The sequence below is a fragment of the Homo sapiens genome, chromosome 1, assembly GCF_000001405.40.
Source record: "Homo sapiens chromosome 1, GRCh38.p14 Primary Assembly".
NCBI lineage: Eukaryota > Metazoa > Chordata > Mammalia > Primates > Hominidae > Homo > Homo sapiens.
In genome coordinates, this window is record NC_000001.11 from 7,845,988 (window position 1) to 7,868,838 (window position 22,851).

General features: G+C 46.9%; 1 protein-coding gene across 4 annotated transcripts in view, besides 1 other annotated feature; it reads right to left on the reverse strand.

Moving 5' to 3' along the window:
• UTS2 (urotensin 2) overlaps nucleotides 1,625–22,851 on the reverse strand; it is a 65,638-nt gene continuing 44,411 nt past the window's right edge. Inside the window, exons 2-6 of one of the 4 annotated variants that reach the window (XM_011540537.3) lie at nucleotides 7,320–7,518; nucleotides 6,914–6,936; nucleotides 4,825–4,935; nucleotides 3,653–3,696; nucleotides 1,625–1,895 (exon numbers count right to left, since the gene is read on the reverse strand). In XM_011540537.3, the coding sequence (XP_011538839.1) occupies nucleotides 1,779–1,895; nucleotides 3,653–3,696; nucleotides 4,825–4,935; nucleotides 6,914–6,936; nucleotides 7,320–7,444 (420 nt within the window). In that variant the 5' untranslated portion in view covers nucleotides 7,445–7,518 and the 3' untranslated portion in view covers nucleotides 1,625–1,778. Of the gene's footprint in view, nucleotides 1,896–3,652; nucleotides 3,697–4,824; nucleotides 4,936–6,913; nucleotides 7,134–7,319; nucleotides 7,519–22,851 lie in introns of those variants that run through there. The other 3 variants (NM_021995.2, XM_011540538.2, NM_006786.4) reach the window with 3 other exon arrangements.
• Nucleotides 6,598–7,286: an enhancer, noted in NCBI's record as "NANOG hESC enhancer chr1:7912645-7913333 (GRCh37/hg19 assembly coordinates)". NCBI's record gives its function as "activates a minimal SCP1, AML or CMV promoter by ChIP-STARR-seq in naive H9 embryonic stem cells {active_cell/tissue: H9 hESC(naive)}" and the evidence as "EXISTENCE:reporter gene assay evidence [ECO:0000049][PMID:30033119]".

Below are 22,851 nucleotides of genomic sequence, written 5' to 3' on the forward strand. Positions count from 1 at the left end.
CCACAGTGTTATCATAGCTGTCCTCAATGTTAGCATGTTTCTGAGCTTGCACATTCATTCCAGTTTAAAACATCTCTCCCTTAGATTTGTTCTTGATGTCTTTTTTTTTTTTTTTTTTTTTTTGAGACGGAGCCTCGCTCTGTTGCCAGGCTGGAGGGCAGTGGTGCAATCTCCGCTCACTGCAAGCTCCACCTCCTGGGTTCACGCTATTCTCCTGCCTCAGCCTCCCGAGTAGCTGGGACTACAAGCCCGCCACCATGCCCGGCTAATTTTTTTGTATTTTTAGTAGAGACGAGGTTTCACCATGTTAGCCAGGATGGTCTCGATCTCCTGACCTCGTGATCCACCCGCCTCAGCCTCCCAAAGTGCTGGGATTGCAGGCTTGAGCCACCCCACCCGGCCAAGTTCTTGATGTCTTTAGGGTAAACGCTCTGAGACCTGTACTCTCTAGGAAACTTGTGATGGTCAGTGACAAGATTGACACAAGTCGTGTGTTGCTCTTTGGTTGTTGCAGACCCCTCTGGAATGTGGTGGGATGTCAGAGCTCAATGAGAGAAACAAGTTTCTCATAAACATCCAGGCCTCCCCTATACATGGTTCTGTGTAGAACCACACAGAACTCTCAGGAGTTCACACTGTATATTCTATACATACATAAACCACATTTATACAGATGTATTCACGGAATAGAAGTCAGTACTTACACACATAGTTTTTAAAAATTCGTAAGCCAGGCTCTTTCTTCCACAATCTTAAATCTTGCCTCAGCTTTCTTCTCTCTGCAAGAGACATCAAGGTGTTTTTCCCGGTGTAAGAAACTGTGATCCTTGAGCTCACAGACGCTGAGATCATACAAGTTTCAATGTTAAAAGATTAAAATTGTCAAGTGTTCAGGACTTTGGTCAGCCAAGAGAAAGAATCTCAGCACATGAACTTCCCCCACGAACTTCAGAAACCAAGGAGCATCAGACACTCCCGCCCTTCATCTCAGACACCCGTAACTAGAGATTTTTTCCAAGCCAAGATACTGTTTTCTTTTTATTTTGTTTTATTTTATTTTTTATTTTATTTATTTTATTGTTTATTTTCAAGACACTCTTCCTCTGTTGCCCAGGCTGGAGTGTAGTGGTCCGATCTCGGCTCACTGCAAGCTCCACCCCAAAGGTCTGAGCGATTCTCGTGCCTCAGCCTCCTGAGCAGTTGGGACTACAGGCACCTGCCACCATGCCCTGCTAATTTTTGTATTTTTGGTAGAGACAGGGTTTTGTCATGTTCCCAGGATGATCTCAAACTCCTGGTCTCAAGTGATCCACCCATTTCAGCTTCCCAAAGGGCTAGGATTACAGGCGTGAGCTACTGTGCCTGGCTGTGATTTATTTTTTAAAAGTAATATGTTGTCTTTTTAAAAGGTTGAGAGGACATCATAGCTAAGATAATGTAGTTTATTTAAATGATTTGCCATTTAACAAAAGTTTAACTTTTGTGACTTTTTCTTAGTGTTTGCTTCTGTTCATTCATTAGCTTTGCTTCTGAAATGTCAAAGAATTTTCTAAGGATAAATGGAAGAAAAGAATAATTATAAATTTTCAGGACATGTTTATAGGGAAAATAACCACTCATGATATGTGCAAAACATAGAGGATTTATTTTCCAGGTAACAATGAACAGGGTGTAGTTTGCCTAGTTTTTCTCCACACTGTTTTCAAATCAAGCATTGTGTTATTTTTCATATTCTAAGATGGGTGTTTCTGAGCTGACTAACAGATGCTTATTTCACTTCAGACACAGTATTTCCAGAAGCAATCAGGAGTCTCACGTTTCTTGTATGGTTTCCAGATTCTGGCCAAAAGATGACTCAGTAAAATGTTAGGATCTTGTCCAGAGAAATCCTGAAACTAAAACAATCCAAACGAACAACAACAACAAAAAAAAACAGATAAGTTACCAACGAGTGACGATTCCTATAAGAAAAAGGAATCTTGAGTCAAGACACTGGACTTCTTAAAAGTATTTGCATTTTTCCCTGGACTATAATTGTAACAAGAGTGTCCCGGGCCCGTGGGGCTCCTGTGCCCACCTCCCTACCTCTAATGAGTGTCCTTCCAGTCTGTTCAGCCCAGCGATTGTCCTGAATTTTCCTAAACCCTCATTGACCGATTTCTATTTAAATCATTTCAGCGGCTGGGCAGGTGGCTCATGCCTATAATCCTAGCACTTTAGGAGGCTGAGGTGGGCAGATCACTTGAGCCTAAGAGTTTGAGACCAGCCTGGGCAACATGATGAAACCTCGTCTCTACAAAAATTAGCTGGGTGTGGTGGCGGGCTCCTGTAGTCCCAGCTACTCGGGAGGCTGAGGCATTAGAATTGCTTGAACCTGGGAGGTGGATGTTGCAGTGAGCCAAGATCACACCACTGCACTCCAGCCTGGGTAACAGAGCAAGACCCTGTCTCAATAAATAAATAAATAAATAGTAACATGTTCTGTGCATGTATTGTCTTCTGTGTATTGTATGTATTGTGTATACTGTATTGTATTGTATTGTATTCTTTTGAGATGGAGTTTTGCTCTGTTCCCCGGGCTGGAGTGAAGTAGTGCGATCTCCTCTCACTGCAACCCCCGCCTCCAGGTTCAAGTGATCCTCCTGCACCAGCCTCCCGAATAGCTGGGATTACAGGTGCATGCCACCACGCCTGGCTAAGTTTTGTATTTTTTGTAGAGACGGGGTTTCGCTGTGTTGCCCAGGCTGGTCTTGAACTCCTGGCCTCAAGCAATCCGCCTACCTCGGCCTCCCGTGCTGGGATGACAAGTGTGAGCCACCGCACCCGGCCTTCTGTACATCGTTCAGGTCAATGTCTGGAGCATGGCCTTCCTCCATTAGATGTTGTCTTGCAGTGCCCTTCACACTTTCCCATGCATGTGAATCACCTGGGGATCTTGTTAAGATGCAGATTTTGCTTCCGCAGGTCCTAGGTGGGCCTAAGATCCTGCATCCCTCACTGGCTTCCAGGTGCTCCCGGTGCTGCTGGCGGTGGGCCGCATGTTAGATGGTGAATGAGAGCACAAGTGGATGCCAGACTGGAGAGCAGGGACCTCACCCATTTTTTTCATTCTTTCACAACTTATTTGATTTACCCAAAACAGGCACTGGGTAGGTTCCTGTTGCATTCAGATCTTATATCAATCAAAATTTGGAAAAATTAATGCTTTGAAATAATGCTGGCCAATTATTATTATTATTATTTTGAGATGAAGTCTCATTCTTGTCCCCCAGGCTGGAGTGCAGTGGCGCGATCTCAGCTCACTGCAACCTCTGCCTCCCGGGTTCAAGCGATTCTCCTGCCTCAGTCTCCCGAGTAGCTGGGATTACAGGTGCCACCACGCCCAGCTAATTTTTGTATTTTTAGTAGAGACAGGGTTTCACCATGTTGGCCAGGCTGGTCTCGAACTTCTGACCTCAGGTGGTCCGCCCGCCTCGGCCTCCCAAAGTGCTGGGATCACAGGCATGAGCTACCGCGCCTGGTCATGCTGGCCAATTATTTTAAGGTGTGGTTTCCACCAAGAACACTCCTCTAGTTCATGAATTCAGAGTCCTGTAAAACCAGTACAGAATGTTCACCTTTTTAAACCTAACTCATAAATAGAGTCACTTACCTTTCTCAAATTTCCTCTTGGGTTAAAAATGTTGGTACTTGAGTCTGAAAAACAGTTTTGAAGCCAGTTCATCAGATCTGTTGTTTCTCTTGTATGCTTGTTTTAAAATATACAAAATAATATTACTAAATTATGTCTAGTTTCTGGTCTTTTTCCACACTGCAGCAAGCTTTTCTTGAATGCAGACAGACAGGCACTCCTGTTCTTATCTCGAATTCACAGAAGTCACTGCATTGTCCTCAGTAACTTCGCAGTCCAGTAGCTCGTCAAAGATATTTTATAACAAATGAACTCCTGTCTATTAAACAATACCTATCTTAAAAGGCTCAAATTTTTTTTTTTTTTTTTGAGACAGAGTCTTGCTCTGTTGCCCAGGCTGGAGTGCAGTGGTGAGATCTTGGCTCACCACAACCTCTGCCTCCTGGGTTCAAGCAATTCTCCTGCCTCAGCCTCCCTAGTAGCTGGGATTACAGGTGCCCGCCACCATGCCCGGCTGATATTTGTATTTTTAGTCGAGATGGGTTTTCACCATGTTGGCCAGGCTGGTCCTAAACTCCTGACTTCAAGTGATCCGCCCACCTCAGCCTCCCAAAGTGCTGGGATTACAGGTGTGAGCCACCGCACCCAGCAAAAGGCTCAATTTTGTTTCCAGAACTTCCTGAGCATATGTGTCAATGCTTGGGGGAATGTGGCCACGGGGGAATAAGCTGACATTTTATTAATGACTTTCTGTGTGACTCGAGCATTTTACTTGCCTTGACTCATTGACTCTTCACAAGTTACCTTCTGAGGTGGAAACTTAATCATTCCTGATTACAGATTAAGAAACTGGAGTACAGAAAGATTACTTTAAGTTTTCAGTAAACGGGAAACTAGGATTTTAAATTGCACTCACTGGAAACTGGAATAATTACCACCAAGCTCTACCCCGCAAAAATAAAAGTCCACACAGAAAGACAAAATGCTGAGGTACCAAAGAGCACAGTGCGAGCAAGGAGCTGCTGGGGAAAAGAAGGTTGCACAGGCCGGGAGGGGAGAGTGTTGGTAATTACTTATTTTATATAGCTCATCTTTATATTCCAAAATAGAGCTTTACCTCTTCTAGATGAGGACAGACGGTAAGTTCAGTAGCAATTAAATCAGACACGCTATAAACATGAGAAGCATTTTACCTGCTTTCCTGAGAATATCCCCTCTTTCTGCACCCAGCATCTCTGGCAGTATCTGTAGAAGGGAAGCTCTTTCTAGCTCCTCCGGAGTTAAGCGCGCGTCTTCATGAGGTGCTACAGAGTAAAAACAGATACTTAGAATTGGGTTCATCCTTCAGTTAGTTATTTCTGTTCCTTGTGTCTTTGGCGAGCACCAGAGATAGGGAGATGAACACTAGAAAAACTTCCAACGCTGAGTTCATGACGTGTCATCAGTGGTATTCTAGAAGAGGTGGAAATGCTACCAGCCCGTGTGCCAGCCAGCAGAATGGGAAGCCGGGAGACGTGGATCTGACACCCGCGTGATGAGCCAAGCCCCTCGGCTGCCTCGAACAAGAGCTGAGGGATAAGCCACAGCCTTTCTCAAAACCATTTTGGTTCAAAAAGTCTGACTCTCCCTCATTTCTGCTTATCTACTGCTGCCTACTGCCTTTTTGCTTTTAGATATTTGGGTGGTGACATTGGAGAGGAAAAAGAAAGATCGTTTACAATCTTCCTATAAAGCCAGTAGGATGGTATCACCTCTTCTTTTACTGAACTTCAAGATTTCAATACAATTATTATACTTAGAATTGGCTTCAAAATCATCTGTAAGGAACTTGATTGTGGCATTTCCTATGTGAAATGTGGTCGACCAGATGGCATATAGAATGCATGGTAAGTGCGCTTAAGGTGTGTGGAAAGGGCACACCGGAGTGTGAGGCGTGGTAAGTGCAGACCTGCTGCTGTGTTGCGATTCGAGGCTGTGGGAGTCAGGGTGGGAGGCCATGTGTGGGACCAGCGTGCCACAGGCTTACAAATAGCTGCAACCTTGATTGGAGGACAGTGAGCAGATCATCATAAAGGCATCAGAGCACATTCACAGCACTTCTAAAGACTGTTAATGAAAATCTATAAAATTTCATCATCTGTAAATGCTGATAGGAAAGCACATTTCTGGAGAAATAAATGAGAACAAATTCTGCGATAAGCTGCCACTTGTTTCGAATTTGTGTGAGATGCTACACTCATTTCATCTATGTTTCTTAAATTACTTGTAAAATTTTTTAAGATGACAGTAGTAGCTGAGTATTTTCACTTATTTCATCTTGAGATGTGTGCTGTTTCTTTGTAAATAGCAGAGATTCAGTAAAGTTAATGCCAGTGTTTAACTATTAGTAGGACAGCCAATGATCATCTCGGTGACTCGGGAAGTTGGTTGGCAGTGCCTGATGACAGTGCTTGACGATCATCAGAAAGCTGCTTGGGATGAACTTTTAGAGACGAGAAACTATAAAATCCTTGGCTTAAAAGAGGGTTTGTTTGTTTTTTTTCTTTATTTAAAAAAAGCCTATTTAAAAAGTACTCAAGATTAAAGATAAGATTAAATCTAGTTAAGTTTTTGATGGAACCTAATCCCCAAGCATTAGCTTTCTCATTTCTCTAACTAAATGGAAAGATAATGGCAAAATGAGAAACTACTTGACTGATGTGTATTTCTTTAACTCAACTTAGACTTAAACTGAATTAACATAAATCAAAAGGAAACGATCAATATACTTGGAAGTCTATGAACTCCCTAGTTCCCTAGTTTGTCATTTACTAAAAAATTTTTAGTAAACATTTTTGTTTCGTAGAACACATATCAGATGATTTTTTTAAACAAAAGGTGAAACAAATAAATCCATTAATAATCTATAATTAGAACAACCAGTGCTACATTCAACCAGTTCATTTAAAGTAAAAACTAAAAGTAATGATGTTTTAAATTTCATGCAATTTTTAAAATTGGAAAAATGTATATATTACCCAAAACAAGAGTACAGAGGTAACATGAAACAAGCAATTATCCTCTTCTCCTTTTACATTGTAGAGACAGAAAAAAAACTGTATCCATTACTACATCTAAAATGTGCAGTAAGGATCCTTTAATATTCTTTTCAAAGCTGGGACTATTGAGAGAACAAGACTCCAGACTCCTTCGAGCAGGAATCCCATTCTTATCTCTAACATTGAATTTAAGACTAGTAAAGGCTCTTTCAAGACTAACATAAGGGGAAAAAAAAAATCTTACCTGAGAGTTGAAAGGATATTTCCCTGGAGTCAAGGAGAGGAAGAGATAAGAGAGGATTTAAGAATCCTATGAAAAGCAAACAGCAGGAGGCCAGCTTATACATGATCGCCACAAGATAGACGGCTTCCTTCTTGGCTTCTGTTGTAGAGAACTTTCAACTGTCTCCTCATTCTGCCTGCTCACTGATTATATATATCATCCTATGACCTGACATCATCCTCTCCAAAAAAAAAAAAAAAATGAATTTATTGGCTATGGAGGCTAAAAGGCAATCACTTTGCATTGATGTAATTTTTCAAGGTAACAAGTCATAGACAATAAATTAACTGTCTTGTTGCCTAGTGTACAAAGTAGGTATTATATAAAGAACAGTGAGTTTATAAATCTGGCAAAAGAGGCAACTTACAGCAATAAATCATGAATTAAAGGAAGGCTTGGATATGAGTTGAAGTGGCCAAAGCAAAGAGACGTGGATTTATGAGTCCGAGCAGAAGTGACGCAGAGCATAAGATGAAATACGTTGGTTTCCATTTTTTAATCTTTCATGAGTGAGTAGATGAGTTGCCATGCTGTGTTTAGGGCTGCCATCCCTGAAGAATGACAATCTGTGGATTAAAACGTAAAACCAGCTATTTCCTTTAAAACAGTGAAAAGTTAAAATACATAGCAAACATTGCTCCAGGCTCAAGACAATTCTGTACATACACGTGGCCTCATGTGAAGCCGCAAGCACTTCAATCTTCAGAGAAAGGAAATAACTTCATAAAGTTGATTATTATTCAGCAAGGAGGGAGGAAGGACTTAACACCAGAAAACTCGCTGATAAACATTTCCAGAATGTGGCCTCTACTCCCAACTGTACTCTGCCCAAGCTGGTCCAAGCCCGGATGGGTGGAAAGGTCCCCGACAGGCGTCCTGAAGTCTGCCTTCGGGCCTGCCACAGGCTCAGCACAGCAGAGTGATGCCAGAAGCATCTGCATAAGTCAGATCATGGTAGTTCTTTGCTCAAAACTTTCTGTGGACCTAAACACAAAAGTTACAAAGATAGGCCAGGCACGGTGGCTCATGCCTGTAATTTCAGCACTTTGAGAGGCCGAGGCAGGAGGATCACTTGAGTTTAGGATTTCAAGACCAGCCTGGGCAACATAGAGAAACACTGTCTCGGCCGGGTGCAGTGGCTCACGCCTGTAATCCCAGCACTTTGGGAGGCTGAGGCGGATGGATCACGAGGTCAGGAGTTTGAGACCAGCCTGACCAACATGGTGAAACCCCGTCTCTACTAAAAATACAAAAATTAGCCAGGCATGGTGGCACGTGCCTGTAATCCCAGCTACTCAGGAGGCTGAGGCAGGAGAATTGCTTGAATCCAGGAGGCGGAGGGTGCAGTGAGCCAAGATTGCGCCACAGCAGTCCAGCCTGGGTGACAGAGCGAGACTCTGTCTAAAAAAAAAAAAAAAGAGAAGGAGAAACACTGTCTCTACCAAAAATACAACAATTAACCAGGTGTGGTGGTGCATGCCTGTATCACTTGAGCCTGGGAAGTTGAGGCTGCAGTGAGCCAAGATCGTCCCACTGCACTCCAGCCTGGGTGACAGAGCGAGACCATGTCTCAAAAAAAAAAAAAAAAAGAAGAAAGAAAAGTGGTTACAACGTAATGATAGAACTACTAGGGGAAAAAACATGAACACCTTCACAACCTCAGGTTAGGCAAATATTTCTTAGACAAGACACAAATCACACAGGAAAAAAATTGAGACAGGAGGAATAAGTTCAAGAGATCTATGTACCTCAGGGTGACTCTGATTAATAACAATGTATAGTTGAAGATTTCTAAAAATCGATTTTGTGTTCTCATCACAAAAAAATGCTAAAAACGTGAAGTAATACACATGCGAATTAGCTTGATTCAGCCATTCCACAATGTATGCATATATCAAAACATCAAACTAATAACAATAATAATAATAATAATAATCATGGCCAGGCACAGTGGCTCACACCTGTAATCCCAGCACTTTGGGAGGCCGAGGCAGGTGGATCACCTGAGGTCAGGAGCTCAAGACCAGCCTGGCCAATGTGGTGAAACCCTGTCTCCACTAAAAATACAAAAATTAGCTGGGCGTGGTGGCAGGTGCCTGTAGTCCCAGCTACTTGGGAGGCTGAGGCAGGAGAATTGCTTGAACCTGGGAGGCAGAGGTTGCAGTGAGCCAAAATCACACCACTGCACTCCAGCCTGGGTGGCAAGAGCAAAACTCCTTCTCAAAACAAACAAACAAGTCATGATGTATACCATAGATACCATTTTTGTAAATTAATCAATAGATGAACAAAACTGATAAATTGGACTTTATCAAAATTAGAAACATTTGCTCAAGATACTGGTAAGAAAATGAAAAAGCCGAGCAAGGCGCGGTGGCTCACGCCTATAATCCCAGCATTTTGGGAGGCTGAGGCGGGCAGATCACCTGAGGTCAAGAGTTTGAGACAAGCCTGGCCAACATGGTGAAACCCTGTCTCTACAGAAGATAAAAGAATTAGCCAGGCGTGGTGGCGGGCCCCTGTAGTCACAGCTACTCCGGAGGCTGAGGCAGGAGGATAGCTTCAACCTGGGAGTCGGAGGTTGCAGTGAGCTGAGATCATGCTGCTGTATTCCAGCCTGGGCAATATGACAAAAGGTTTGAAAAGGACTTCAGGCTGGTCTTGACCTCCTGGCCTTAAGTGATCCACCTGCCTCAGCCTCCCAAAGTGCTGGGATTACAGGTGTGAGCCACCACATCTGGCCATTATTATTATTATTATTATTATTATTTTATTATTTTGAGACAGGATCTCACTCTGTCACCCAGGCTGGAGTTCAGTGGCGTGATCATGACTCACTGTAGCCTTGACCTCCCAGGCTCAAGCAATTCTACCTTGGCCTTCCAAATAGCTGGAACCACAGGCACATGCCACCACGCTCAGCTAGTTTTTTTTTTTTCAGATGGGGTCTCAATGTGTTGCCCAGGCTGGTCTCAAAATCTTAACCTCAAGCAATCCTCCTGCCTCAGCCTCAGCCTTCCAACCCTCTGGGATTACAGGCGCAAACCACCATGCATGGCTTTTTTATTTTTTGTACAGACAGGGTCTTGCTATGTTGCCCAGGCTGGCCTCAAACTCCTGGGCTCCAGAGATTCTCCTGCCTCGGCCCCCGGAAGTGCTGGGATTCCAGGTGTGAGCCTCCACACCTGGCTATCGCACTATTTTATGTATTTATCCTTTATAGTAGGCAGACTCGATAAATATTTGTTGAATCAGTGAGTGGGGCACCAGCCTATGGGAGTCTCTGTTTAGGGGAAAGAACGGTGAACAAAATAAAAAGTTTCTACTCTCATGAACTTTCTGACTGGAGGCGATAGACAACAACATTAACATACGCTGTAGGAATTGTTTATTGCTATGAAGAACAATAACAAGGAGACAGTACAGGGGCAGGTAGTCAGGGCAAGTGTGATTTCAGACAGGGCCCTCGGGATGCCCTGGAAAAGGGGCATCTGAGCAGGAGCCGAAAGGAACAGGGCAGCCATCCGTTCAGTGGTGAGTGGAGTGTGGAGCCTCCAGCGAGAGAAGTCGGGGAAGCGTGGCCTCCGAGGAGGAGGAACTGAAAGAAGATTCCTGCGAGGGCAAATAAAGTGAAGAGAGTCCCTGGGGGACCCCTGCTGGCAGGAGAGCCCAGGGCGAGTGCTCGCACACTGTCCTCTAAGATGGAAAGTGCTCGAATCACTTAAGACTTGTTAACTCTTTCGACAGATATTTCTCAGCACCCCCATGTGCCAGCAGGGTCGGACAGAGGACGGAACCTAACGTCCAAGAGAAACCACTTCCATCCAATTTAAGAAAACAGCCGGGCACGGTGGCTCAGACTTGTAAGCCCAGCACTTTGGGGGGCCGAGGCAGGTGCATCACCTGAGGCCAGGCGTTTGAGACCAGCCTGGCCAATATGGTGAAACCCCATCTCTACTAAAAATACAAAAATTAGCCGGGAGTAGTGGTGGGCGCCTATGATCCCAGCTACTTGGGAGGCTAAGGCAGGAGAATTGCTTGAACCCAGGAGGTGGGGGTTGCAGTGAGCCGAGATCGTGCCATTGCACTCCAGCCTGGGCCACAAAGGAAGACTCTGTAGGAAAAGAAAGAGAGAGAGAGAGGGAAGGAAGGAAGGAAGAAAAGGAATGAAGGAAGGAAGGAAGGAAGGAAGGAAGGAAGGAAGGTGAAGCATGTTGGAAAGACACTGGATAGCTTCCAGAATCCCAGGAAAAGTGGAGGAGCAGGGACCAGGATCCCACTGGCCTTCTGACCTCTGCCCTCTGCCCTCAGTGACTTGACTCCTCCCTCTTCCCTCCTTCCTCTCCCTACTCACCCTTGCTCTCCCCACAATCCTCCATCTCTCCTGTAATTCAACCTTTTGGCCTCAATGCCCTAAATAAGTGCATTAAGTATCAAAATGTAATTTTGGTAACCATTAAAATAGTAACCAAAAGATTATAAAAACTTGGAAAATATAATAAAAGAACTAGAATATCAGGTAGTTACTACTATGTTAAAAAAAAAAAAAGATGAGCTTGTGGGCAAGCACTGGTGGTGTCATTTTACAGAATTGAAAATAAAGGGATTTTTTTCTTTTCTTAAAATGTTTTGATGCAGCATGGTGGCTCCCACCTGTAATCCTAGCACTTTGGGAGGTTGAGGCAGGAAGATTGCCAAACCCAGGAGTTTGAGACAAGCCTAGGCAACCTAGTGAGACCCTGTCTCTACAAAAAATACAAAACTTAGCCAGGAGTAGTTGTGCACCTGTGGTCTGGGCCACTTGGGAGGCTGAGGTGGGAGGATCGCCTGAGCCTGGGAGGTTGAGGTTGCAGTGAGCCGTGATCATGCCATTGCACTCCAGCCTGGGCAACAGAGTGAGACCCAGTCTCCAGAAAAAAAAAAAAAAAAAAGCTGTTTTACATTGTCTGTCTGTGTATTACATGTGCATGTTTATGCTCATGCATGTTTATATATATGTAAAGCACTCATGAAGTCTCACAAAGAGGAAGGACGGACTCAGGCCAAGAGACAGGGGTCTTTGAAGACCCGTGAGGACCATTTCAAAATGAGGTGGGAGATGAACTCTGGGGCTCCAAGGAAGAGGCTGTTTGCCAAGCTTTGTCATTCCCTGGTGACTCAGGGGGTACTTCTGACAGTTATTAGTGATGGTTTTACAGCATGGCCTAATTAAATTACTACTAAAGGCTTACGCTTAAAAGAAAATTAGCTTCTTTCCTTCAACAGACCATCAATGACAGTGTCACCTTGTCCCAGAAATGTACTGAGCACGTCATTCCACGCTAATGGCCCTTGCATTAAGCAGCATGGCTTCACATCTGTGCCAGGACATACATGAACAAAGACCACCCTGAGAAGTGGGATTCCTCTAATTAGCTGCAAACAAAGTAACTTCTGAAAAGAGAGGGGCATTGTCTGCGTGTCATAAAGAAGTAAACCATTAATATTTGGGATGGCTTTGTCTATGGAGCACTCCCATCCACTGGATAAGCATATCATAAAAATTACAAACCTCTTTTCAGTTTTAGTTTTGAAATTAATCTAAACTCCCTCTCCCTGATGACACGTTTGTCGTTGTATAATATGCTCATAACTTCTATTAATTATTTTTTTTTTGACACAGAGTCTCACTCTGTCGCCCAGGCTGGAGTGCAGTGGTGCGATCTCAGCTTACTGCAACCACCACCTCCAGGGTTCAAGCAAGTCCCTATTCTCACGCTTCAGCCTCCCAAGTAGCTGGGATTACAGGCATGCACCACCACACTCAGCTAATTTTTGTATCTTCAGTAGAGATGGTGTTTCACCATGTTCACCAGGCTGGTCTCAAACTCCTAGCCTCAAGTGATCCACTTGCCTCAGCCTCCTATAGTGATGGGATTACAGTGTGAGCCACCACGCCCAGCTGGTCATAACTTCTGAATATGAGGTTACATTGATTCTCCTCGGTTGTGGGGATTCCATGAAGAGAAATTGATAGGAATTGACTTTGCCAAATATTTAAAGCCTATTCACTGATTGCCAAATAAATATCATAATTTGGGGTGATCTGTGAGGAATATGTTTGTGTGTGCTTTGAATACTGCAATGTTTGTACCATTTTTATGCGCAGACTTGGGTCCAGAGAAGTTGAGGATACCTGAAACCAGGGCAGCTCATATTCAACTGACATTGAACTTCTGAACTTCCTGCAGACATCATCGGGGTCCATTCTTACTTGTGTTCATGTAAAACATAGGTTAGAGGCTCTCAGATAGACTTTTAATTTATATTAATTAAAATTAATTAAAATTTTAATTTAATCTAATCTACATGAATTCTAGATTTCGTTTCTAGTCACCTATATTTCAGATAACCATTTGGCTTAAGTGACTACTGAATGCCTCGTCTGTCAGCTGCAGCAATAACCCCTGAGGGGGTCACAGGCCCCGTGCTGGTCCCCTCAAGAGATAGTGGGGAGAATGGTGGGGACTTCACAGGAGAGGCTCTTTTCCTGCAGAGGGTCAGCATAGGCTTGCAGGAAATGTGGAGAGGGCCTCGAAGCTATCTGAGAGGAAGAGCCTCCAGGCAGACGGAACAGTGAGTGCAAAGGCCCTGGGGTCAGATGAGGGATCAGCCTGAGCCATGCGCCCAGCATGTTTGCCAAGGGCTGGACACAGCCAGATAAAACCAGAGATCAGTGGGGCTATGTCACGTGACCATATCGAGGAATTCGGGGTTTTGTCATTTACCAGCAATGAGGAGCCTGGGCATGGCTCATGCCTGTCATCTCAGCACTTTGAGAGGCCACGGCAGGCAGATCACTTGAGCCCAGGAGTTCAGTACCAGTCTTGGCAACATGGTAAAACCCTGTCTCTACAAAAAATATGAAAAATTAGCCAGGCATGGTTGCATGCACCTGTAGTCCCAGCTACTTAGGAGGCTGAGGAGAGAGGATGGCCTGATCCCAGGAGGCGGAGGCTGCAGTGAGCCAAGATTGCACCACTGCACTCCAGCTTAGGCGACAGAGCGAGATCCTGTCTAAAAAAAAATGCATACATATATATATAGCAATGAGGAGACGACAAGGGTGTTTGTTGAACAGTGAGTAATGTTATTCTCTCACTCATTCAACGAACATTGAGCATGTGCCAGGGACTGTGTAGGGTACTAGGGATGTAGCAATGACCAAAACAGACCAAGCCTCACCGAGTTTATGTTCAGTGTCAGGTGCTGATCAATGCCACAGATAACTAAGTAGGTTCAGGTGGGCGATGGGATGGACGGGCTCTTTTCCTGGAGAGGGTCAGCGTAGGCTTGCAGGAAACGTGGAGAGAGCCTCACAGCTAGCTGAGAGAAAGAGCCTCCAGGCAGATGGAACAGCGAGTGCCAAGGCCCTGGGGTGGGACTGTATTAGGCCTGTTTGAGGAACAGCCAGGAGGCCCGTGTGGTTCAGTGTGATCAAAGGGGAGAAGTGTGGGAGTTGAGGCCAGAAAGATGCAGAAGGGCAGGTCACACAGGCTCCGGAAGCCACCGTAAGGACTTTCTGTTTTAAAATGAGATAGGAGGTCCATTTTGAAGAACAGTATGGCACAATCTAAACTGTGTTTTATTTCTATTATTATTATTTTTCGAGACAGGGCCTCACTCTGTTGCCCAGGCTGGAGCACAGTGGTGCAATCACTAATCACTGCAGCCTCAAATGCCTGGCTCAAGCCATCCTCCTGCCTCGGCCTCCCAAGGTGCTGGGATTACAGGCATGAGCCACCATGGTCGGACTAAATTATGTTTAAAAGGCTCAGTCCGGGCTGGGCCTGGTGGCTTACACCTGTAATCCCAGAACTTTGGGAGGCCAAGGCAGGAGGATCACTTGAGATCAGGAGTTCGAGACCAGCCTGGCCAACATGGTGAAACCCTGTCTGACTAAAAATACAAAAACTAGCTGGGCATGGTGGTGGACACCTGGAATTCCAGCTACTCGGGAGGCTGAGGTATGAGAATTGCTTGAACCTGTGAGGCAGAAGTTGCACTGAGCCGAGATCACACTACTGCACTCTAGCCTGGGTGACAGAGCAAGGCCTTATCTCAAAAAAAAAAAAAAAAAAAAGGCTCACTCCAGCCTCTGTGAAGAGGTCAGATCCCTGCATCTGTTTTGAAGGAAGAGCCAGCAGTACCTGCAGGAGTGCTGGATATGAAAGAGGAACACCAAGGATGATCCCAGAGTTTTGGGCCTGAGAACCTGGCAAGGTGACGTTACCTGTAACCAAACTGTGCAACGAGTTTGGAATAGGTTGGAGGGGATCGTCAGTGATTTGGTTTGGAAGTGTTGGTTTGGGGTGCCTGTTAAACCCCTGGGAGAGAGGTCAAGAAGGCAGCTGAATGCTGGCAACTTTGACAAGAGCCGTTTTGGTGGCCTGGGGGGTTGGAAGTCTGGTTGGGGTGGGTTCAAGAAACAAAAGGGGGAAAAAGGTGGAAACCATAAGCACCAAGTCTTTTGCAGAGTCTTGCTAGAAAGGGGGCAGAGAAGAGGGCCAGCAGCTGGAAGACGCTCTGGCGTCAGGAGAGAGATGGTTCAAGAAGGGCGATCACGTAACTGGGTTTTCTTGCAGTGGGCTTGACCCGATTTGCCTTTTGCACGCGGTGTCCTCACAGCAGCCTCCGCAGCAGGCCCCAGGTCAACGCTAGTGAGTGGCAGAGCCGAGCCTGGCCCCAGGTAGCCAGGCTTGGTGCCCACCACTGCCCCGTCCCTCAGGAAACAGCCCCCTTTCCCCAGGACAAAAGGCGGAAACGAGCAGGTCCCCAGTGGTGGTTAGGTACAGCGTCTGGCAGGTGGTGTGGAGCGTGAAGAACATGTGAGGGCAAACTCTGTTCATATTTCTACTTTGGTGACAAGTAGGTTTTGGACTTCAGGATTCCCCCAGGTGCCAATGGCCAGAATACTGGTTTCTAACAAAACACCTCTTTTTTTTTTTTTTCTGAGATGGAGTCTCACTCTGTTACCAGGCTGGAGTGCAGTGGCACAATCTCGGCTCACTGCAACCTCCGTGCCCCTGGTTCAAGCGATTCTCCTGCCTCAGTCTCCTAAGTAGCTGGGATTACAGGGGCTGCCCACCACGCCCGGCTAATTCTTGTATTTTTAGTAGAGATGGGATTGCACCATGTTGGCCAGGCTGGTCTCGAACTCCTGACCTCAGGTGATTCCCCCCCCGCCCCCGCAACTTCGGCCTCCCAAAGTGCTGGGATTACCGGTGTGAGCCACCGCGCCCTGCCTAAAAGACCTCTTCCTTCTGAGAAAAGCAAAGCCCTCACAGTGGGCCTGCTGGGCCAGGCCTCTTCTCCTGCAGTTCCCCCGCTATGTCCCCTGCATGCTCCTACCTCTGGGCCTGTCTAGGTCCATTTACTGTTGCTGTAAGAGAATACCTGAGGATACCTGCGAATACCTGAGGCTGGGTCAATTATTAGGTTGGTGCAAAATTAATTGCGGTTTTTGCCATTACTTTCAACGGCAAAATCTGCAATTAATTTTGCACCAACCTTAATGTTAAGAAAAGAGTCTTATTTGGCTCACAGTTCTGCAGCTTGTACAAGAAGCATGGCGCTGGCATCTGCGTCTGGTGAGGGCACTCATGGCAGAAGGCAAGGGGGAGCTGGTGTTTGCAGAGACCACATGGCAGGACAGGAAGCAAGAGAGAGACAGGAGGGCCAGGCTCTCTTAACAACCAGTTCTCTCAGGAACTAACAGAGCAAGAATTCACTGAATGCCCCGCACCCCAGGGAGGGCATTCATCTATTCATCGGGGTCCACCCCCGTGACCCAAACACCTCCTATTAGAGCCCACCTCCAACACTGAGGATCAATTTTCAGTTTCCAAACTACAGCGGGACCTTTGCACTGGCTGTTCCCTCTGCTTGGAATGCTCTCCCTCCAATAGCTATGTAGCTACCACGTTCACCTCCTTTTAGTCTCTCCTCAAATAAGTAGGCGATAACGTTTCCAATAAGGCCTACCCTGACGGCCGTTATTTATTGTGTTGTGTTGTATTGTATTGTATTGTATTGTATTGTATTGTATTGTATTGTATTGTATTGTATTGTATTGTATTGTATTGTATTGTATTGTATTGTATTGTATTGTATTGTATTGTATTGTATTGTATTGTATTGTATTGTATTTGAGACGAAGTTTTGCTCTTGTTGCCCAGGCTGGAGTCCAATGGCGCAATCTTGGCTCACTGCAACCTCCGCCTCCCGGGTTCAAGTGATTCTCCTGTCTCAGCCTCCCGAGTAGCTGGGATTACAGGCATGCACCACCACGCCTGGCTAATTTTGTATTTTTAGTAGAGACAGGGTTTCTCCATGTTGGTCAGGCTGGTCTCGAACTCCCGACCTCAGGTGATCTGCCTGCCTTGGCCTCCCAAAGTGCTGGGATTACAGGCGTGAGCCACCACGCCTGGCCGACAGCCGTTATTTAAAATTGCAGCCTGCCGTCTTTTACCCCTGTATTTCCTCTTACCCTGTTTAGAATGTTCTCCCATCTCACTTACCACGTTTTACTTTTTACTATGTGTATCGGGGTTACTATGAAAGCAGAGAGCTCTGTCTGTTTTGCTCACTGATGTATCCCAAGTGCCTAGAACAGCGCCTGGCCTTGGTGGGCACCCAAATGGCATTTACTGAATGAATGAATTTTGGGAAATCCTTTTAGCCTGGTGCATGGGCTCTGTATTTAGTTTTATCTGATTTTTATTTATTTTATTTAGTTTCCAGCCCAAATTTAACGTCTAGTTATCCATGGCTGTGTAAGAACCCCCCATCCCCACCAAAATATATTGGCTTAAGACAACAACCGTTTAATTGGTTCATGATTATATCTGTGGGTGAGCAGTTGGGGTTGCTGTGGCCCAGGGTCACTCATGTGGCCCCAGTTGTCTAAGATGACCTGGCCCGGCCATCTGGAGGCTGGTGCTGGCTGACAGCGGGGCCTCCCTCTCCACGTGGCCTCATCCCCCGGGGGGGTCTGCCCGGGAGAATTCACAAGGCATCTCAGGGCAGCAGGAGGGCAAGAGTGGAAGCGTCAGCGTGTCTCGAGGCACTTCCACCGCCGTCTCCAGGTCACAGCGAGGCCCCAGGCCAGCCTGGATTCAAGGGCTGGTGTGTGTGTTTGTGTAGGCTGCCATCACAAAGTACCACAGACAGCTCCAACAATGTAAAGTTAGTTCTCACAGCTCTGGAGGCTGGAAGTCCCAGATCAAGGTGTCGGCAGGGCTGATGTCTCCTGAGGCGTGTCTCTTGAGGCATCTCTCCCTGGCTGGCAGATGGTCATCATGGGGGCTCAGGAACGGATACTCCACAACATGGCGCTTTGTCCTGCCGGACTAAAGAAGCAGCCTCCAGGCCTCTCCGACCTTCCCCCTCTCCCTCCTGTCTCTCAATCCTCTGTCCCTCCCAAAGCATGACAGGAAGTTGTCCTCTGAGGTTCCTTTGTCTGCCTCATGTCTGCACCCACCAAAGAAGACAACAGTGGCCTCTGGTCCCTTCTTTGAGTTTTCTTTAACTGAACTCAGATCCCAGGAAGAAGGACTGACGTCTGTCAGCATGCTTGAAGAGACTTTGGTCACAAACCATTCTCTGCTCTGCGTGCCCAACAGACTTTGTCCCAGACCATTGTATGTTCTTCACGCCCATTGAATTCTCCTAAAAATCATGTACTGTCCCCCTAAAATCATTCGCACCTTCCCGTCTCCTTTCCCCTAAGAAGAGGGGTAGGTAAGTATCAGTACCCCCTGCACTGTGGGCAATCACTCTGTGCTCTGCCTCTATGCATATTAATAAATCCGTGTGCTTCTTCTCCTACTAACCTACCTTTTGTCAGTTGATTTTCTGTGAACAATCAGAGGGTGAAGGAGGAGTTTCCTCTTGGCCCCGATACCGTCTTCCCCATGTGTCCTCCCACAGCGGTCCCTCTGTGTGTCTGTCCGATACCATCTTCCCCCTGTGTCCTCCCACAGCTGTCCCTCTGTGTGTCTGTCTGTCTGATACCATCATCCCCCTGTGTCCTCCCACAGCGGTCCCTCTGTGTGTCTGTCTGTCCGATACCATCATCCCCCTGTGTCCTCCCACAGCGGTCCCTCTGTGTGTCTGTCTGTCCGATACCATCTTCCCCGTGTCCTCCCACAGCGGTCCCTCTGTGTGTCTGTCTGTCCGATACCATCATCCCCCTGTGTCCTCCCACAGCGGTCCCTCTGTGTGTCTGTCTGTCCGATACCATCTTCCCCGTGTCCTCCCACAGCGGTCCCTCTGTGTGTCTGTCTGTCCGATACCATCTTCCCCCTGTGTCCTCCCACAGCGGTCCCTCTGTGTGTCTGTCTGTCCGATACCATCTTCCCCCTGTGTCCTCCCACAGCGGTCCCTCTGTGTGTCTGTCTGTCCGATACCATCTTCCCCCTGTGTCCTCCCACAGCGGTCCCTCTGTGTGTCTGTCTGTCCGATACCATCTTCCCCGTGTCCTCCCACAGCGGTCCCTCTGTGTGTCTGTCGGTCCGATACCATCTTCCCCCTGTGTCCTCCCACAGCGGTCCCTCTGTGTGTCTGTGTCCTAATTGCTTCTTCTCATAAGGACACCAATCATATTGGATTAGGGCCCACCCTAATGACCTCATGTTTACCTTAATTACCTCTTACAGACCCTATCTCCAAATACAGGCTGAGCATGGTGGTTCTGTAATCCCAGAACTTTGGGAGGCTGAGGTGAGAAGATCACTTGAGGCCAGGAGTTCCAGACCAGCCCGAGCAACACAGGGAGACCCCATCTCTACAAATACAATTTTAAAAATTAGCCAGGCTTGGTGGCACACACCTGTGGTCCCAGCTACTCGGGAGGCTGAGGTGGGAGGATCATTTGAGCCCAGGAGGTCAGGGCTGCCATGAGCCAAGATTGTACCACTGCACTCAGCCTAGGTGACAGAGTGAGACCCCGTCTCAAATAAACAAATAAACAAACTAATACAATTCCATTCTAAGGTAGGATCTCAACGGATGAATGTGCAGGGGACAAGTGTTAGCCCATGACAGGTGGGGAGAGAAGCTCCGCCCCTCCATGAAGAGCCACAGGCACCGTGGAAAGGGCTCTGGGCCAGGGTTGGAGGAACCGTCATGGTCGACCACGCTGACCATGCCCACGCTCTGGGCCCCTTGCCTGTGGGTGAGCAGTTGGGGGTTGCTGTGGCCCGGGGTCGCTCGTGTGGCCCCAGTTGTCTAAGATGACCTGGCTCGCCCATCTGGAGGCTGGGCCTCCTCGCAGCTGAAAGTAGGCAGGGAGAAACGTCTGGTGGGCTGGGAAGAGCTTCCATTCAGCCTCACCAGACAGTTTCTCAGCAGGGACACCAGCGACAGTAGAGGGGGTGTCAAGTGAGCGTGAGCGTGGAGAGCTATGAAACAGCACTCAGAAAGCTGGGTTCCCATGGGGCAAGGCCCACAGGAGGAAGTCCAGGCCCCCTCTGTGCAAGGCTCCAGCCCTCTCATAATCTAATTTCATGCCAGCTTCAGAGTCATGTCCTCAGCGCCACCCACACCCATCCTAGGCCCTGCACTTTCTCCTCTGCTCATGGTGCTCTTGAGTCATACAGAACTCAACCTCATCTCCAAGACGCAGCCAAGGGCTCCACTCAGCTTTCCCCCTCCTCCCTCCCTGGGAGCCTAAAGGAGGGAAGGCGCTTTCTAAGCTGCATGCTTGCCTGCCTCCTCCACCCAGGATAGAAGTTCAGGGGCAGTGTGTGATGCCAGTGCTGGTGCCACACTAGGGCTGTGACATGTCACCCCATTGAACCCCACCATCATTTCATCCCCAGGGCTGACCATGGTACCGGGCCTGGAAAGGGCTCTATTACTGATGATCAAATTACGTAAGTTTTTTTGTTTTTGCCTTTGTTTTTTGAGACAGAGTTTTGCTCTTGTTGCCCAGGCTGGAGAACAGTGGCGCCACCTTGGCTCACTGCAACCTCCGCCTCCTGGGTTCTAGCGATTCTCTTGCCTCAGCCTCCCAAGTAGCTGGGATTACAGGCATGCATCACCACGCCCAGCTAATGTTTGTATTTTTAGTAGAGGTGGGGATTCACCATTTTGGTCAGGATGGTCTTGAACTCCTGACCTCAGGTGATCCGCCCGCCTCGGCCTCCCAGAGTGCTGAGATTACAGGTGTGAGCCACCACACATGGCCCAAATTAAGCAAGTTTAAAACACATTATTGATTCCGGTTGCAAAAAAAGGGAGATCCCCAAAATATGAAGAACTTAACACAGTTAGATATTGCCTGGTGTCATGCACCGAATTGTGTTGGCCCCTAATTTATATGTCAAAGTCCTAAGCCCCAGTATTTCAGAATGTGACTGTATTTGGAGAGAGGGCCTTTAAGGACATCATTAAGATAAAAATGGGGTCAATCATTTGGTCCCTCATCCAACAGGCTTGGTGTCCTTATAAGAAAAGGAGATTTGGTCCCACAGAGTGACATCAGACACACATGCACACGGAGAAAGGACCATGTGAAGACGCAAGGAAAAGACAAACATCTACAAGCCAAGAAGAGAGGGCTTAGGGAAGCCACTCCTGCTGACATGTTGATCTTGAGAAAATAAATCTGAAGACCGGGCACAGTGGCTCACGCCTGTAATCCCAGCACTTTGGGAGGCTGAGGCGAGTGGTCCCTTGAGGTCAGGAGTTCGAGACCAGCCTGGCCAACATGGTGAAACTCTGTCTCTACTAAAAATAGAAAAATTAGCCTGGTGTGGTGGTGGGTGCCTGTAATCCCAGCTACTTGGGAGGCTGAGGCAGGAGAATCGCTTGAACCCGGGAGGTGGAAGTTGCAGTGAGGTGAGATGGCACAATTGTCCTCCAGCCTGGGCAACGGAGCAAGACTCAGTCTCAAAAATAAATAAATAAATAAATAAACCTGGAAAAGTAAGTCTCTGCTATTTAAGCTCCCCCAGTCTGTGGTATTTTGTTACAGTAGCCCAAGTGCACTCATACAGCTGGTCGCAGTGAAGATGTATTAAATCAGACAAAGAAAAATAATTAGAAGACGATTAGCACAAAATAGCTCACACCTTCAAAATGTTGCCTCTCTCCCTGCACAGCTTCTACATCCTGAACACGAATGCACAGTTCTGCCGGCACATCACCAAAAAAAAAGGCTGTCTTCTGCTATTCTGTGCTCTGACAATTTTGTTAATGAGGGTGTCTTGCAGGGTTAGCCTTCTCCTAATGCATGCTCCTTTCCAGTTTCACAGCAGAGTCGCTACGATAATGCCGCTACTGATTTATTGCAGATAGGGTGATGGCTGTCTTGTGGGCACGTGTTTCATCCAACCCAGAGATAAGGACTCATCCAGTTGCAGGAGGATGAGCTTGGGTTTTAGAGTCCTCATTTTTGCTTCAGACTCACAGGAGGCAATTTTATAATCTTTCTACCAACATCTATTGAGGCAGCCTGCAAGCACTCGGCCCTGTGGGGTAGCAGGGAGTGTGGACCTCAGGGAACTGACTTGACAAGGGTACCCCCAGGGGACTGTGGGGGCAATGAGGACCCAGCCAGCCCAGCAGACACAACCACCACAGTCCACAAGCCTGTCTTCACCCGTGAGGGCCGGAAGGCCCATGTCCCTGTCGCCCTGTGTGGCAGTGAGCAAACAACCTAGGTGGCCTTGGCATATTCTCTATTAGTGGGACAATGATGATGTTATTAACATTTATGAAGGTGTCCCAGGGCTCTGTGCATTCTGGAGGCAGTGCCATGGACTAAATATATCCTCCAAAATTCATACAATCAAGCCCTAGTCCCCAGTGAGATGGTATTTGCAGGTGGGGCTGTTGGGAGGTGATTGGAGGTA